We start from the raw sequence: 14,094 nt of genomic DNA, 5'->3' as shown, positions 1-14,094 counted from the left end.
AAATATATTTTCTATGCCAACAATGTACCCATAATAGAGATATCTGTGCATTTTAGACTGTGTTTCAATTTATTGGCAGCACTATGACCAGGTGTGTGCTTTATGGAACATCTTTTCCATGCTCTGCATGTGGACTATGCACGTTTTACAGAGAGCTTCCCAAGCAAGGGCTGCTGGGGGGTTCCATCCTCACAGACCTGTCTTTGAAGGAAGCTCTCCACTCTGGGCCAGGTAAACTGACAAAGTGAAGACTTGCCTCCTAAGTGGCTCTGGCTGGAAGAAGAGAAATCACCTGCTGGCAACGGGCTGGTTTAGATTGGCTAAAGGTCCAGCTGTGTTTGGTCTTGTCGAGGCCCAGTTTCTTGGCTCCTATGCCAGGCTCCAGCGGGCGGCACAGGTCTTAGGAGCCTCCAGGGCAGAGCCTCTAGCGATGAGAAGCCGGGCAGGAGGGCGGTCAGCTGCTGTGGGGACACCGAGTGCCCGGCAGAGGGAAGGAGCTTAGGATAAAGGTCTAATTCACGAAGCCCGGCCAGCGCCTCAGACTCCAGCCGCTCTTGGAGGTCTCTCACACTCACAGGGCGTCCCCCCAACGCCTAGGGTGCTCAGGGACGAGCGACTGGACAGATCCGGGTCTCGGCGAGGCAACCTCCACAGCTCCGGCCAGCAGGGGTCATCTCGTCCTTCGCGGGGGCACAGCAGCCCTCCGGAGGAGACCAGAGCTGCCGGCGCTGTCGGGCGCGGGAGCTGCTCGAGTCAGCCGGGGCTGTGGGCGCGCCGGGTTTCCTCTCCCTGGACCCTGGAGAGGACCGCAGCCGGGACCACGACGGTCGGGGAATTGGACCAAGGTCTCACAACCTTCGCCACAGGGCCGGGATGCTGAGCACTCCAGGCGCGAGTCAGGGAGTGTCCCAGGCGCCCGGGTCGTCCACCAGTGCCCGGCGCGTCTTTGTCTCGAGGCCTCGGCTAGAGTGGCAACCGAGAGCACCGCGCAGGGCTGCAGCGCGGAGCGGAGGGCGAAGCTGGGGAGTCCTGCAGCGGCGGACGCGGGCCACGGCCTCTCCTTGGAAAATCGGCAGCGCCGTCTGGACCGAGGCACACGCAGGAGGGCGGCCGCTCGGACCAAAGGCTGAGCATAGGCGCGCTGTGGGATCGGGGCCTGCCTTCCACCTCCCGCTGAATTACACCGGAACCTTCCGCGCCTCCAGGTGCCATGCAGAGAGGATTGGCGGCTCCAGAGTGCGTTTCTCGCGCGGCCTGGGGCCGAAAAACCGCTTCTGCTTTCCTGGATATAGCAGGGAGGGTGGGCAGGGGCTCCGGCCTGGCCGGAACCCCAAGTCCCCGGAGTTTGCTTTGTTCGCGGACCGGGGCCAGCGGTCCCTGCTCTGCTCTGGGTCTCAGCCATCGATCGCGCCGGATTTCCGGCTACATTAGCACCCACAGAACCCAGACGGCCGGACCCATCACCTGCCGGCTCGATAGCGGCTTAGTGGCTTTAAATACTCAATTTCGTCTGTGCACGTCAGAGTGGAGCAGAATAACTGCAACAATAACCAGGTCCAAATACAGAACTCACTCGGGGGATATAAGTTTATACACGCACAACAGCAGAATTATTGTCTACCTAAATTATCTGGATATTTCTTCCCTTTTCTTGCTCCTCAAAACCCGGCGAGAGACACGGAGTGCTTTGTCTTAAAGTTAGTGGAGTACATTGTAATTTGGGGGCTAAAACTGGACAAATAGTTGCAACATAGAGGAAATCCTCACCCAGATGGAGAGCTCAGCTGCGACCTAAGTATTGGGATCGCGGTTCCAACCGTGACCTCCTCTTTGGCCGGGAGACCCAACGATTTGTTTTTCAGTCATAGGAAGGAGGCAACATCCTTCTCTGGCAACATCCCCAGTGTTTGCGTTGAGTCTCTGGACCTGCAGAGACACCACCCAACTAGGTGCCTTCTCTCTCAAATTGGGAGTATCTCTGGGAATAAATTAAAGGCCAGTTATTTGCGGCCTTCCTAAGTCCTCCTTTTTCTTTTGCCAGAGATGTCCCTATTGTTGACCCTTCCTGTGTAGACACGTCATAAGAGTCAGATATTCTTTTGCCTTGATTTCCTGGTATTCTGACTCCTCCTACCCTCCTCTATTCAGACCCAGGCTCAAACACCAGGCCCCTCCCCCAGCTCATGGCTGCCCAAGCTGCCCGTCTTCGGTCGATGCTGCACTCTGTGGGGCATTTATATGAGCAACCTAAGGCTTTGGGTCTCCTTCCTGTCCGTACTCCTCAGCTTCGCAAAGCAACTGGGGATTAGGGGTAAAAAAGAGAATGGTATTTGATCTAAATTCGCTAGTTTATCTAATTATAGGAATAAAAAAGGGGAAGGAAAGAGAGATTTCAGGGCAGGAGGTGTGGCTCAGAGTCTGGACTTGGTGGGGGCCCCTAGGATTCTGGTACAGGAGGGTGGAAGAGGAATTTGGAGGAGACTCCTTTGATAGGAGCTTTACAGTTAGAAAAGGTAACTGGAGAGAGGGGAGGGAAGAGGCAAAAGGGTAAGAAAGAGAGAGGGCATGTCTTACCAAAGGAAGGGGTAGGTGGAGGTGCAGAGGGTTCATGGGCACATCTGGACTCTACCACTGGCCTGGGCCTGGGCTTTCCTCTGGCATGGGCTAGAGGGAGTCGCTGGCTTCAAAAGGTGGAGCCTATTTTGCCAGTTCCAAGGGGTCTTTAGCCCCTTCTCAACATCTTGCAATACACAAGCGTCATCTCAGAGTGAAGCCATAGGATTAAGACCACACGGTTGAAGCTCTAGGCCCACCAACCCCCCTCCATCTCAGCCCCGGGATTATGGGTTACTCTTACTGCCCCAGTATCCAGCTCAGCTCACCAGTGCCCCTATCCTGGCTTCTATTTGTCAAGTTCCTGAAGCACAGACCTCCTTTTCTGAAGCTGGTTTCAACCTCCTTTAGGCTGTCCACATTATTTTTATGGCCCCATGACTTCTCAAAGCTCCCTCTCCTCCCCCAAGTCTGCCACCCCCCAATTTTCTCTCTGCTATAATTGCTTGGGACTGGAGATGGTAGCTCATCAACAGATCTTGGTTGCTTATGTATTTTTGTTGCCCCTGCAACCACTCTTCCTTCATTATTATTACACATTTATTATTTTTATTATTCACCTGAGCTGGAGAAAATAAAGTGGAGAACAGCTAAGAGGCTGGGACTCCCATTATTTTGGGGTAGAACTTTTGTTTTCAAAAAATCACATAATCATAATTCATGTTTTAATTATTATTATTATCAATATTAATATGATGAAGCAACTCTGTACAAGGACTATATAAAGGGAAAACGTGCTAAAGACAGACGTTGGAATAGGAGAATTACACTACAGAGAGCTGGGGAGGCAGCTAGGGGAAGGGCAACTATCCACAGGGACTACACTAGGTACCAGCGACAGACACAGAGAACAAGACACAGATTGACAGAGAACCTCACAGAAGTCAAGTTTAAAGCAAATGGAAAGAGAATATTGCATATCTTTGTCCCCTCACTCCTTTTAGAGTGTTCTGGTCCCTCTTCATTATTAGATTGGGAATCAGGTTAGTCTGGAGTGGTAGAGCTCAAATCCAGCACCCTAGAGCCCAGAGGTCACAGGAAGGGCTGCATAAAGGGGGTACAGTGGGTGACCAGTCAAGGTGGGGAGTGCTTCATGCCCAGGGGAAGACCACAGGAGACTGCAGACAGCTGGAATGGTGGTAATTTGGGGGAACTTGTACATGGGTGAAGCAAGTATGTGTGGATGGGGAATTGTCAGGTGTCAGATACCCAGCGGGGGATGGAGGCATGTGATTTTATCTCCATTCTGCTGGGCCATGTGGGGATTATGAGGCTGCCTGCTTGCGAGTGCACTAGGGAGAGTGGGGTGGGCCCAGTGCTGTGCTGGGCTCAGCTGTGTGTATGTGTTTGCCTTTGCCTCTGCCTGTACAGAAGCTGTGTGCTGGTGGGAGAGTAAAAAGCTCGGTGGATTGCCTTTGGAGAGTTTGTTAGGGGAGACTCTCCCCATATGGGAAACACTCCAAGCCAGCAGGCCAGTTTCACACTGTCCAGGCTGCAGTTAACTCCCATCAGTGCCCTGCTTCTCACCCCTCTTGCTCCTGGAAAGGGCCGGACAGCAGATGGGAGGCTGGGGGACTCTTGGGGAGAAGGATAAAAATGAAGTACAGAAAGGTTGATGGTTCTCTCACTGCTCCTCTCTTCCAAGCCAGCCCAGCGTCTACTGGGCTGGGGCTGGGGTCTGAAGGAGTCTGGATGAAAGTCCTTCCCACTCAGAGAAGCCATTCTCAGACCTCCAATGGGTTCTAGGGCTGTGCCCCTCCCTCTGCTCTGGTCCATGTGCTAGGCTGTGGAGGTTTGCAGGCCAGGAGGCGGAGGCAGCCCTTCTGAAGACAAAGGGCAATGTTGGGGGGCGGGCGAGGAAGAGAGAAGGGAGTTGGGTGGGGGGCTGGAGCGCCCCCCTCCTTCATTCTCACGGGCCTGGGAAACTGGGGCTGAGTGGGACCTCAATGGCTGGTAGCCCCTTTAAGGGTGAATTCTCCTCCCGCCTCGTAAATTACGCTGGTCCACCCTCTGGCCGGCCCGTGAGGCAGTGACCGTGAACGCCAGCGGGGAAGGGAGAATCAGAGGCCTCGGCTGTGGCTGTCAGAAATTCTCCCGGCCAATCAGTGTGGTGCTCCGTAGCCCCATCTACAGCCTCTTGCACTTTCTTTCTGGAGAGCCAGCTGGGGACCTCTGGGGTGGCTACTGAACCTGAGGCTGTGTCCCCTGGGCTCTCAGGTCCCTGCTTGCTGCATCAGGCCTGCAGCCACCGCAGGCAACGGAGGAGTGGATGGCAGCACACCTATGAACAGACATTCGCCCGGTGCGGGCAGCGGGATCAGGAGAGGGCTGGGGACCAGGACACTGTTCTGGTCCTAGAGGGAACATGAGGCTGATAGTCCTTGTCCACAGCCCGGCCAGCCAAATGCCCAAGCTTCTGCCCACTGGGTGTCCTGGGGGACCCAGACCCAAGCAGACTCTGGTTCTTGCTAATCATTTTCTCACAAACCACACTTCCTCCTTGGTTCCCCACTTCCTCCAGCCCTACCAGAGACACCTGACTCCCTCAGCTCTCTCCGCTGACCCTCCACCCTCCTCTCTCTTCCCAGCCTCTTCTAACCCCAGGAACTGTGAGGTTGAGGTGCCTTGGTTCCACTGGCCCTGCTCTTTGCTCCTGACGGCAAAGAGAATTAAGACCATGGAAGGGAAGTAGAGGAAGGGGACATCTGGGCCGCTGCTTCTCCAGATCCTCAGCGGAGGTGCAGTGCCCCAGTCCTGCCTCAAATAAACCAGCCCGCAGCACCTCAGCCTTCCTGCCCCTGCCAACCGCAGGCAGCTGCCGGCTTCTGCTCTCCCTGGCTAGGTTTCTTCCCTTCTCTCTGGGACCTGGCAGGGTGTTTTGGGTGTGTATGGGAGGGAACCACGAACAAAACAGACAAGAGGATATCCAGGGAGGGCCTGCCAGAGACGCCTGGCGTTCTAAGTGGGGACTGTGTTCTAGGCGGCGCCCTCTTTTGCTCTCTGCCAGGGACAGGCTCAGTCTGGGGCTGGCGCCCGTGTCCTGCACCTTAAAAGAAGGAGAGAGCTTGCTCCCTCAACAGAAGTCTTTTCTTTTTCATTCTCCGGTTCTGAAACCAGATCTTGACCTGCTGGTCACTAAGATTCAAGCGGTCTGAGAGTTCCCTCCGGCGCTGGCGTGTGATGAACTCGTTGACCAGAAACTCGCCCTCCAGCTCTGCCAGTTGCAACTTCGAATAGGGCTTGCGCTTCTTCCGAGAGCGGCTGTTGATCGGGTACCAGGGCGCGCCTGGGTGGAGATGAATGGCAGGGGTTGGCCAAAGGATCAAAGGGTGACCAGTCCAGTGCCCTTGGCCCTTCCCCAGACCCTTTCACCTTCGCCTCACAGCTGGACTCCAGGCCCTTTCTCTCCCTTCTCCTTGCCGCCAGTCATCTGAATCGTCTTTTCTACCCAGACCCACATCCCCACCAACTCCCCCACTTTCTTTACTCTTTTTTTTCCTTTCATTCTTTGCTCTTACCTCCTCAACCCTACCTCCTGCTGCACTATTCATGACCCTTCTAAGTCCCTATCCCCTCCTTTTTTCCCAAACCTCTCCCCAATTTTCTTCTTCCCTATTTCCTGGTCCCTTCCTCTCACATCCTTCAGGACTGGATCCCGGATCAGTTACAACAGATATGGGCGAATGGCAGAGTAAACGCATCCACTGGCATTTCTTTCGAAATGTAAGTAATGGGGTCTGTGGGAAGGTGGAGGGAGAGGCGCCTGGGAGAACTAGGGCCGGGCTTTCTGTCCCCACCTCCTCACCCCCAGGCCTGGGGAGTCCCCGTCAGGATCCCCCAACTCCGGAATCCCTGCCGCCTCCAGCCGCAGGCAGACGAAAAAGGAACACTCTCCATTTCTTTTGTGGGGATGTTTACATGTTTATAGGCTCCCCCCACCCGCACTTCATTTTATAAGAAGCTCTTCCTCGCCACACATTCTGTCACCCTGGGCGTCCCTAGCTCAGTCCTGTTCTGCCCGCCCTGGTAAGAGGTCGGGTTTGAATCCGCCGCTTGAGTGGCCGGGGTCCTTACCGCTGGCCGAGAGCCCGCCGCCGGGGTTCAACGGCGATACCAAGCTGCCGGGGTCGCCTGCGCCGGCGCCCTTGTTGCCCTCGTTGAGCAGGGACGAACTGGAGTCGGATTCCAGCGACTGGCAGGAGGGCGGGTCGTGCGGAGGTCCTGCGCCGCCGCCGCCGTCGCCACCGCCGCCGCCCGCCGCGTAGTCGTACTTGAAGCCGAGCGCAGGCGGCCCCGACGGCTCCAGCGGGAGCAGCGCTGCCCCGGGCCCGGCTCCCGGGTCGCGCCCGCGCTCCTCACGCTTCAGGCCCCCGCCGCCACCCTCGGCGCACGGCTCGCGGTAGTAACCCTTGCCGTCCTCCACGCGCGCCAGCTCGCACGTGCGGCCGAAGGGAGGGTTGAGAGACACTGGGCTGCCGAGGTAGGGCTGCGGGTAGCCATTGCACGGCTCCGCCGACGGCCAGGACAGGGAGCACACGTTGTCGCGGCGTGGGTAGGACAGCGAAGGCAGCCCGGGAAGCTGCGCCCCGGACGCGCGGAAGTTGGGGAAGTAGAAGGTGTCTCCCGTGTGGATGTTTACCAGCGGCCCCACAAACCCGGGATTCAGGAGATTATGCTCGCCCATTTCCGCGGGGCCCGACCGGCAGCTTCTACTTTATTGCTATCTGACATTAAACATAGTTAAATCTGCACCAGTCACCCATTGGCCGCCCCACTCACGTGGGCACGGCCGCCAGGGGGAGGGGTGGGGACAACCGATCCCCCCCCCCCACCATCCCATCCCGCACTCTAACTTCCCCCTTCCCCAATCCTGGGGGTGAGTGGGGTAACAAAGGGCGGGGGCAGGTTTATTTGCTGAACTGATTTTCTAAAACAATGTATATAACCTAACGCAGAGAGTAAAGCAATTGCCCAACACGGGGCAAAAGGGAAAAAACACACACCAAAAAATGCCCGCATATATACACCCCTATAACCTGCACCCCCCCCCATATATTATCTTATCGCCAACAGCTGGCCAAGCACAGCCTGTCCCTCTTTAATTAGCTTCTTTATTAACTAAAACCGTTGGAATTTACAATATCTCCTCAATAAATTACTATTAGATATTGTGTCATATAAAGTTTACTGACTGTTTAAGGAGACGGATGAGCCCTTTGGCTCGGGGTTTATTTACAGTAGAGGCGAAGTGGGGGTAAGGACAGGTTTCCCTGCCGTTATCTCTTCCCGCCCCAGCTGCTGCTGCACACTTCTTTATCAGCTCTTTATCCTCAGGAATTTGGAGAGACATTTGGAGTCCTCTTCCCCAATACTCAAGGATAATTGATAATGCCGGGTTTTCCTCTGGAGCCGGGAGCCACCCAGCCTCACACCTCCACTCACGGCTAGAGGAAGGATGCGGAAGGGAGGTAGAGAATGCAGCAAAAGGAGGTGCCTAGCTCCACATGGACCTGCCTGCCTGCTCCTGAAAATCTGGGGGCGAACTACTCTTCTGCTGTCATTTCCGGGGAACTGAGGAGCTTCTGGGGGCCTCCTGGAGTCTTTGCAGTGGGAAGCTTTGGACCCCTAACAGGGCTTGACTGGGCTGAGAGGGGCCTAATTCTCACTGCGGAGGAGACAACTGCACCCCAGAACCGGCCAAGCCTGCCCCTGGGACCATCAGATAGCAGTGCAGAGGCCCGCAGTAGGTTGCCTCCTGAGGGGGCTAGGATTGAGGGAAAAAACCCTTGAAGAATTATCTTATTGGGGGGTGAAATTATATTTATGGTGCAAACTCAGAAGCTCCCTCCAGAGAAGGCCGAGAAGCAATGCTGGCCATTGGTGAGATAATCAACATCTGCAAAACCACAATCCGATCTCAACTAGGTCCACAGAACACAGCCAAGCGGATTAAAAAGAAAGACAAAATAAAACTCCCCCAAACCAGATGTATCCTTTTGGGGTCTAATAGAAAAAACACTCGAATTTCCATGTGATTATTTCGAGCTTCTAACCAATGCATGGCTTAAGTAATACAGGGTTGGATAAATAGTTCAGTAAACGTCTAAATACGAAAAAATACCAGAAGATTGAAAGAAAATTGGAGACAGAGATTCGGAGAGAATGAGAAAGAAACCCATTTAGGTGAAAGTTAAATATCAGAGAAAGCCTGAGAATAAGCCAAAGCTGCAAAAGCAGATCGAAGCAGAGAAGATTCTCCCTTTTTTTCCTCTCCCTCCCCTCTCTCCTCTGCAGGACGCGGCAGAGAGAAACGCAGATTCTTTGAATTCCACCGCTCCCCGGGCGATTTCATATCCCAAACCGTAGCTGCTCACTCCGACAGAAATGTGTCCCCGCGGGCGCCGCCCTGCCCGGAGCAGTTCGAAGCTCGCAGCTCGGTGCCTGTCCCTTGCCCTGCTTGGCCGGTTCCCCTTCCCCGCCCCTGCTTGCCTAGCTGCCCGGCCTGGTCCAGCCCCTCCCGCCCCCAGGAGCCGGCCCCGCGTTAGGCGCACTTGTCGGAACTTAGGGCAAGCCATGGGCTGCAAACCCGAAGCCGCCACCTTCAGTTAGAGCCGGTGGCGCCAAGGAATGAGCAGGAGACTCAGCCTGGATTGGCCTTTTTGTGCCTAACTGATAAGGGGCTGGGAGGCTACGGAGAGGAGCATCTCTCAGCTGCAAATTCCAGGTCACAGCATCTGTAACATCTTATTTCCCCTTCTCAAGATACATTGATGAGCGCCATTGAAATTTTAGTTTTTAAAAAACATTTTATTTGAGGGTTAATTTGGTCATAAAGATAAACAGGGTGTGACATTAATATTGCTGTTGATTTCAATCAGAACATCGTGCGGGCAGCTAGGTCTGCGCCCAGGCTCTCCAGGCCTCTGCGCTCAGCCGCTATTGTTGGTGTGAGGGATGCCGAGCTGGGCTTTGCCAAATAATCACTAGCCTTTGAGGGGTGGAGTATTCTCCTCATTCTCTTTTCCCTTCCCAGATAATTCCAATCTCCTAGAAGAGGGACCCCAAGAGGAAGGTCTCAGCCTCTCCCCATTCCCTCCACCCCAGCAGGCAACTCCCAGGCCGGGAGCTCTGCTCGCTGCCCTCCCAGGCCAGGCCGCTGAGCGTGAGGAGCAGCGGCCACAGGGCGGCGGATGCAACGCAGGAGAAATGAAGATTGGGTGAAGGCGTCCTTCTTCCAGGCACGCATTTCTTCTAGCCTGATTTAGCCTCATCAAAGAGGGCCGTTTTCCCCAGGTTTTGGATTCGGCGGGCAAAGAAGCACGCACAAACCCCTCTTTCTTCTTTGCAGCTGACCCTGATTCCTCTCAGGGAGAGCTGTCGACAACCACTAGCAAAATTCGCATCCCCGGTGTCCTGCTCCCTGAGACCCACCGGGAACCTAGGGGTTTTCAGGACTCTGGCAAGGACCCAGGTAATCTAAGCGTCCAGCCTTCCGGTGCACCACCGAGGCTCCGTTTGTGGTTAAGGAACCCCGCGACACACGCAACTCAGGCACCCGTTTTTTAACCGGGCTCGGACAAAAATGCAGCTCCCAGTCTGGGTCCCCGGGGCCGGCGGGAGGCTCGGGTGAGACGCTTAAAATCTAAATCCAGCCTCGGCGAGAGCTGTTCGCCGGGAGCAGGCTGGGGCTGGGCGAGGGACTCGCATCCCAAGGAGTCGGGGCAGCCGTGTCTAGCCGGGCTTAACCCGCCGGCACTTCGCTGACCATGCGCAAAACTATAGGTGGTCAGGCCGAGGCACCCAAACCGTGGAGCGATTGGTGCGAACTCTCCCGTACATTTATCAGATCACAAGGCTAGAGCGGTGGCCTGCCTGCTGGCCCCTGGGCCACTGGCTCCCGCCGCAGCTGGCCAGGCTCTACTAAGCCTCGCTCATTAACTCGGGGTTAATTAAAGCTGAAAGCAAGGATGTGGTCCAAGGCTTTCCTTGAAGACCAAGGCAGCCTGTGTCCCTCAGCTCGTCCTCCAGCTGGATGCCCCGCCGCCTCTCTCACACCTTCTCTGTGCCTCCATCCCTCCTGCATCCTAGCAGCCTCCACTGCGGCTGAGCCCAGCGAAAGGAGTTAATTATAAAATCTACGCTGATTCTGGTGGGAGAGGCAACGTGGCTGCTGGCGGCTTAGACCGCGGGGAATCGGCTGTGAGTGACTGCGTTTTGGCTCCCCCGCCGACCCGTGGTCGGGAGTGATTCCGCGCAGTGCTGCCTTACCCCTGGTCTGTCCAGAGGCCGCAGCGGCCCAGTTCAAGGTCACTGTCTAGTTTGCAGAAAGCGGTTCTGCCTCGTATGCAAATTAGGCCGGGACTCAGCACCAGCAGGGGTGTGAGCAGGGATTTGGCCGGCGGAGAGAAGGGAAGATGAGAAGGGGGCTGAGTGGGAGGGCCTGCCCCCTTCCCTGCCCCCCGCCCAACCCTGCAGCCCTGTCTGCCTTGCCCCTTCGGGGCAACTTAGGCTTGGGACCTGACTTTTGTCGGGTTCAAACAAGGCTGGGGGGTAGAGTAGGGAGCTCAGTCTCCTATTTCATGGCTTCCAGGCTCCTTCAGGGGTTGGGGCCCACCTGGCTCCCAGCCCTCCCTGCCGGTGCCCGGGAGGTAAAGAGCAGATTGGGAAATCCCTTCCCCAGGTGCTGCTTTCTAGGGATTTGCAGCCTGGAGGAGGGAGGCTTGTAGGAACGCTCAGTGACGGAGCCCAGTAAGGCTTTTAGGCTCAGGCAAGTAGCCTGGGGCCAACGGAGCCCCTACCTTCTCCAGTTCTCCCGCGGCTTCTCTAGTCCTCTGTCACCAAAAGATTCCAGCCCGATTGCCTCTCAGAAAATGCGGGGGAAGTGAGAGCCCCCAGGCAAGGACATCTGGGAGGCCATCTCTCCACCCCAACCTGAGCATCCCTAAATGGACCACCTTCCCCCGTTTTGTGTTTCCTTCGGTGGCGCGCTAACAGTTAAATAGGGCCGCAGCTCTGACATTTTCCCCCTCCACCAGCAGAGGATCTCCTCCACCTAGTGAATTACTGAGTGTCAGGGAAGGTGTGGGAACCAAGTTAAAAAAAAAAATCACATCAAATGCCACACCCATAGCCGCCTGCAATGCAACAGTGAATCGTCTCCACCGACCTCTAAGCTGGGTGGGGGTGAGGACTACCCGGTGTGCCCTCACCCCTCGGCCTCCTTTTCTGGCTTTGACCCTGTCCACTGGCCCGGCCCAGCTCTGGGGAGGAGCTGAGATCTGCTTAGGGTCTGCTGAGCACCGCTACACAACTGCTTTCCAAACCTGGGGCCCCAGTTCCGGGCAGAGGAAGGGGCTTGGGCAGATTGGGGTGGGAGCAATGGGCCCCACCAGGAGGCAGGTGGGGGTGGGGAATGGACTACCAACCCCGGGGCTCGCTAGGCTGGGAGAGCGCGGACAGGAACAAGGGTCCACTTACCTTTGGAGACAGAAGAGGTTCATAAGGGTGAGGGATAGGAATTCTCAGCCTCTAGAAGCCTTCTGGATTCCCCGTCCCCAGGCCCGTGCGCCGGCCTCGCCAAGGTATCAGAGAAGGGCGGGGCGGGGGGAGGTGGAGAAAGCGGCCAGCGGCAGGCGCGCGGGAGCGGAGTTGCCAGAGCATCTCTGGAGAGGCCGCCTTTTATGGGCGTTATTAGCGCCCTTGTCTAGACTGGAGACGACACCTCCTCTGTGTGTAAACAGAGGCGGCGGGCTCCTGCGGGAAGGGGGATGGCGCGTCAAGGGGGCAAGCAGCCCTCCCCTTCGCTGGCCACCGGAAGATCAAGGCCTTTTCCACCCCTCCCCCCCCTTCCCTGTGCTCCCTGTGATGTCAAGGTCAGAAAGACCTAGTCACGGTCAAGGCTAAAAGAGGAAGAGCCTGGTTGGTTTTGAAAAGGCTCTGGCCCCCTCCTCCTCCTCCCAGAAGTCCCTAGCTCCCCAGGGCCCCTCAATTCTCCACCAGTGCAGGTCTAGATATACATCTGCCTGAACCACTCTTGGAGTTTTCTTGGGGGTGGGCTCCAATACCACCCAACACAGATCCCAGCAGATCCTAGGGTGGGGAGTTCTCTTTTGAACAGATGGAGCCACTGAAGGGGCTGCCTGCCGCATGGACCCCACCTCCAATAGGAGGGCTGTTCAGAGAGATAGCGGCTGCCCCAGGGGCCTGCCCCTGCCTTGCACCCACACTGGCCTACTGTCCCCACATTGCTCACCCAGCCGCCTGTGGATCAACCCCAGGAGCAGATGGTCTCTGGAGCAGACAGTCATGGAGGGATCTGCGGAAAGAACTGCTGCCCTTGTTCTCTCAGTTGGGTTCCGGCTGTGGGACTGCTGGCTGAAAGGCCCATTCTGCTGGGCCTCTGTCTGGAGACTAAGATGTGGGTGGGGAAGGGTTTTTCCCCCAAGCTCAGCAAAGAATCTCTTGAAGCCCTCTCTGGCAGCCCCGGAGAGTGACCACTAGATGGAGAGTCCTGTGAGGCCCTTGGCTGCCTGGGCCTCCCAGCTCTGGCCTAGGGAGATAGGGGAAGTGGGGAGTACCATCAGATTATGAGAAAGATAGCAGGAGTCTCAGCCCCTCTGTGTGTCTGCGTTTCCTCACAGAGGTTTCACCAGCAATTCAGATCACCCTGTACCCCCGGTATCCTCATATTTGCCTTCACACTTAGTCTTACTTTTAACACAAACACTAGGAGGCTGGCCTTGGAGAGAAAGACATATTAGAGACATGACTAAGAGATGAACTATCTCATAGAGTCCCCAAAGACAATGCCAATTCTTGGGAGAAGGAAAGGTAAGAAATCAACACAACCAGAGTTGTGTTAAAGAAGAAATCCTTATTCAGGGAAAGAATAATATATTTCACAAATGTGCCTCCCCGAAACACATGCTCACACACACTCACACAGTGTTTGCTTACTCTTATGGTAAAGTCATATCCAAATAAGTCCAGGCATGATACTCCTCCAAAATAAATCTGGGTATATTTAATGCACTGCACGAGGGCTCACAGGCACTCAGGAACTGAGGTCCTTTTTAGGCTTACCAGTGTCCCAATGCACCAGTAGTGAGCCTGCACAGGCTTTCCTTTTTCTTCTTCTTCACCTCCTCCTCCTCTTTCTTCTTCTTCTTTTTTTTTTTTTTTTTTTTTTTTTGAGACAGAGTCTCGGTCTGTCACTCAGGCTGGAATACAATGGTGAGATCTCAGCTCACTGCAACCTCCACCCCCCTGCCCCCGACCGGGGTTCAAGAGATCCTCCCACCTCAGCCTCCACAGACATGCACCACCATGCCAGGTTAAGTTTTTCTATTTTTGGTAGAGACTGGGTTTCACCATGTTGTCCAGGCTGGTCTGGAATTCCTGAGCTCAAGCTATCCACCCGCCTCAGCCTCCCAAAGTGTTGGGATTACAGGCGTGAGCCATCGCCCCTGGCTCCTCTTCTTT

At 55.7% G+C, this 14,094-nt stretch overlaps 1 protein-coding gene and 1 long non-coding RNA gene across 2 annotated transcripts, besides 2 other annotated features; one reads left to right on the top strand and one right to left on the bottom strand.

Annotated features, from left to right (window-relative positions):
- Positions 580-804: a silencer, noted in NCBI's record as "fragment chr12:54355207-54355431 (GRCh37/hg19 assembly coordinates)". NCBI's record gives its function as "represses an EF-1alpha promoter that drives an FKBP-Casp9 reporter gene in an ReSE screen in phorbol 12-myristate 13-acetate-treated (for megakaryocytic differentiation) K562 erythroleukemia cells {active_cell/tissue: K562(+PMA)}" and the evidence as "EXISTENCE:reporter gene assay evidence [ECO:0000049][PMID:32094911]".
- HOXC12 (homeobox C12) lies at positions 3,271-7,324 on the bottom strand. The gene is made up of 2 exons (NM_173860.3): positions 6,688-7,324; positions 3,271-5,899 (listed from the first exon to the last, which is right to left on the bottom strand). Exons 1-2 carry the CDS (start codon positions 7,295-7,297, stop codon positions 5,661-5,663), a joined length of 849 nt encoding a protein of 282 aa, NP_776272.1. The 5' UTR covers positions 7,298-7,324; the 3' UTR covers positions 3,271-5,660.
- On the top strand, positions 5,800-8,842 carry LOC105369775 (uncharacterized). The gene is made up of 3 exons (XR_944977.2): positions 5,800-5,885; positions 6,260-6,336; positions 7,948-8,842. It is a non-coding gene; the product is annotated as an uncharacterized LOC105369775 (long non-coding RNA).
- Positions 10,098-10,685: an enhancer, noted in NCBI's record as "H3K4me1 hESC enhancer chr12:54345326-54345913 (GRCh37/hg19 assembly coordinates)". NCBI's record gives its function as "activates a minimal SCP1, AML or CMV promoter by ChIP-STARR-seq in primed H9 embryonic stem cells {active_cell/tissue: H9 hESC(primed)}" and the evidence as "EXISTENCE:reporter gene assay evidence [ECO:0000049][PMID:30033119]".

The sequence above is a fragment of the Homo sapiens genome, chromosome 12, assembly GCF_000001405.40.
Source record: "Homo sapiens chromosome 12, GRCh38.p14 Primary Assembly".
In the NCBI taxonomy this organism is placed as follows: domain Eukaryota; kingdom Metazoa; phylum Chordata; class Mammalia; order Primates; family Hominidae; genus Homo; species Homo sapiens.
The sequence above is the reverse complement of the archived record's forward strand: the minus strand, read 5'-3'. Positions and strand labels throughout refer to the sequence as shown.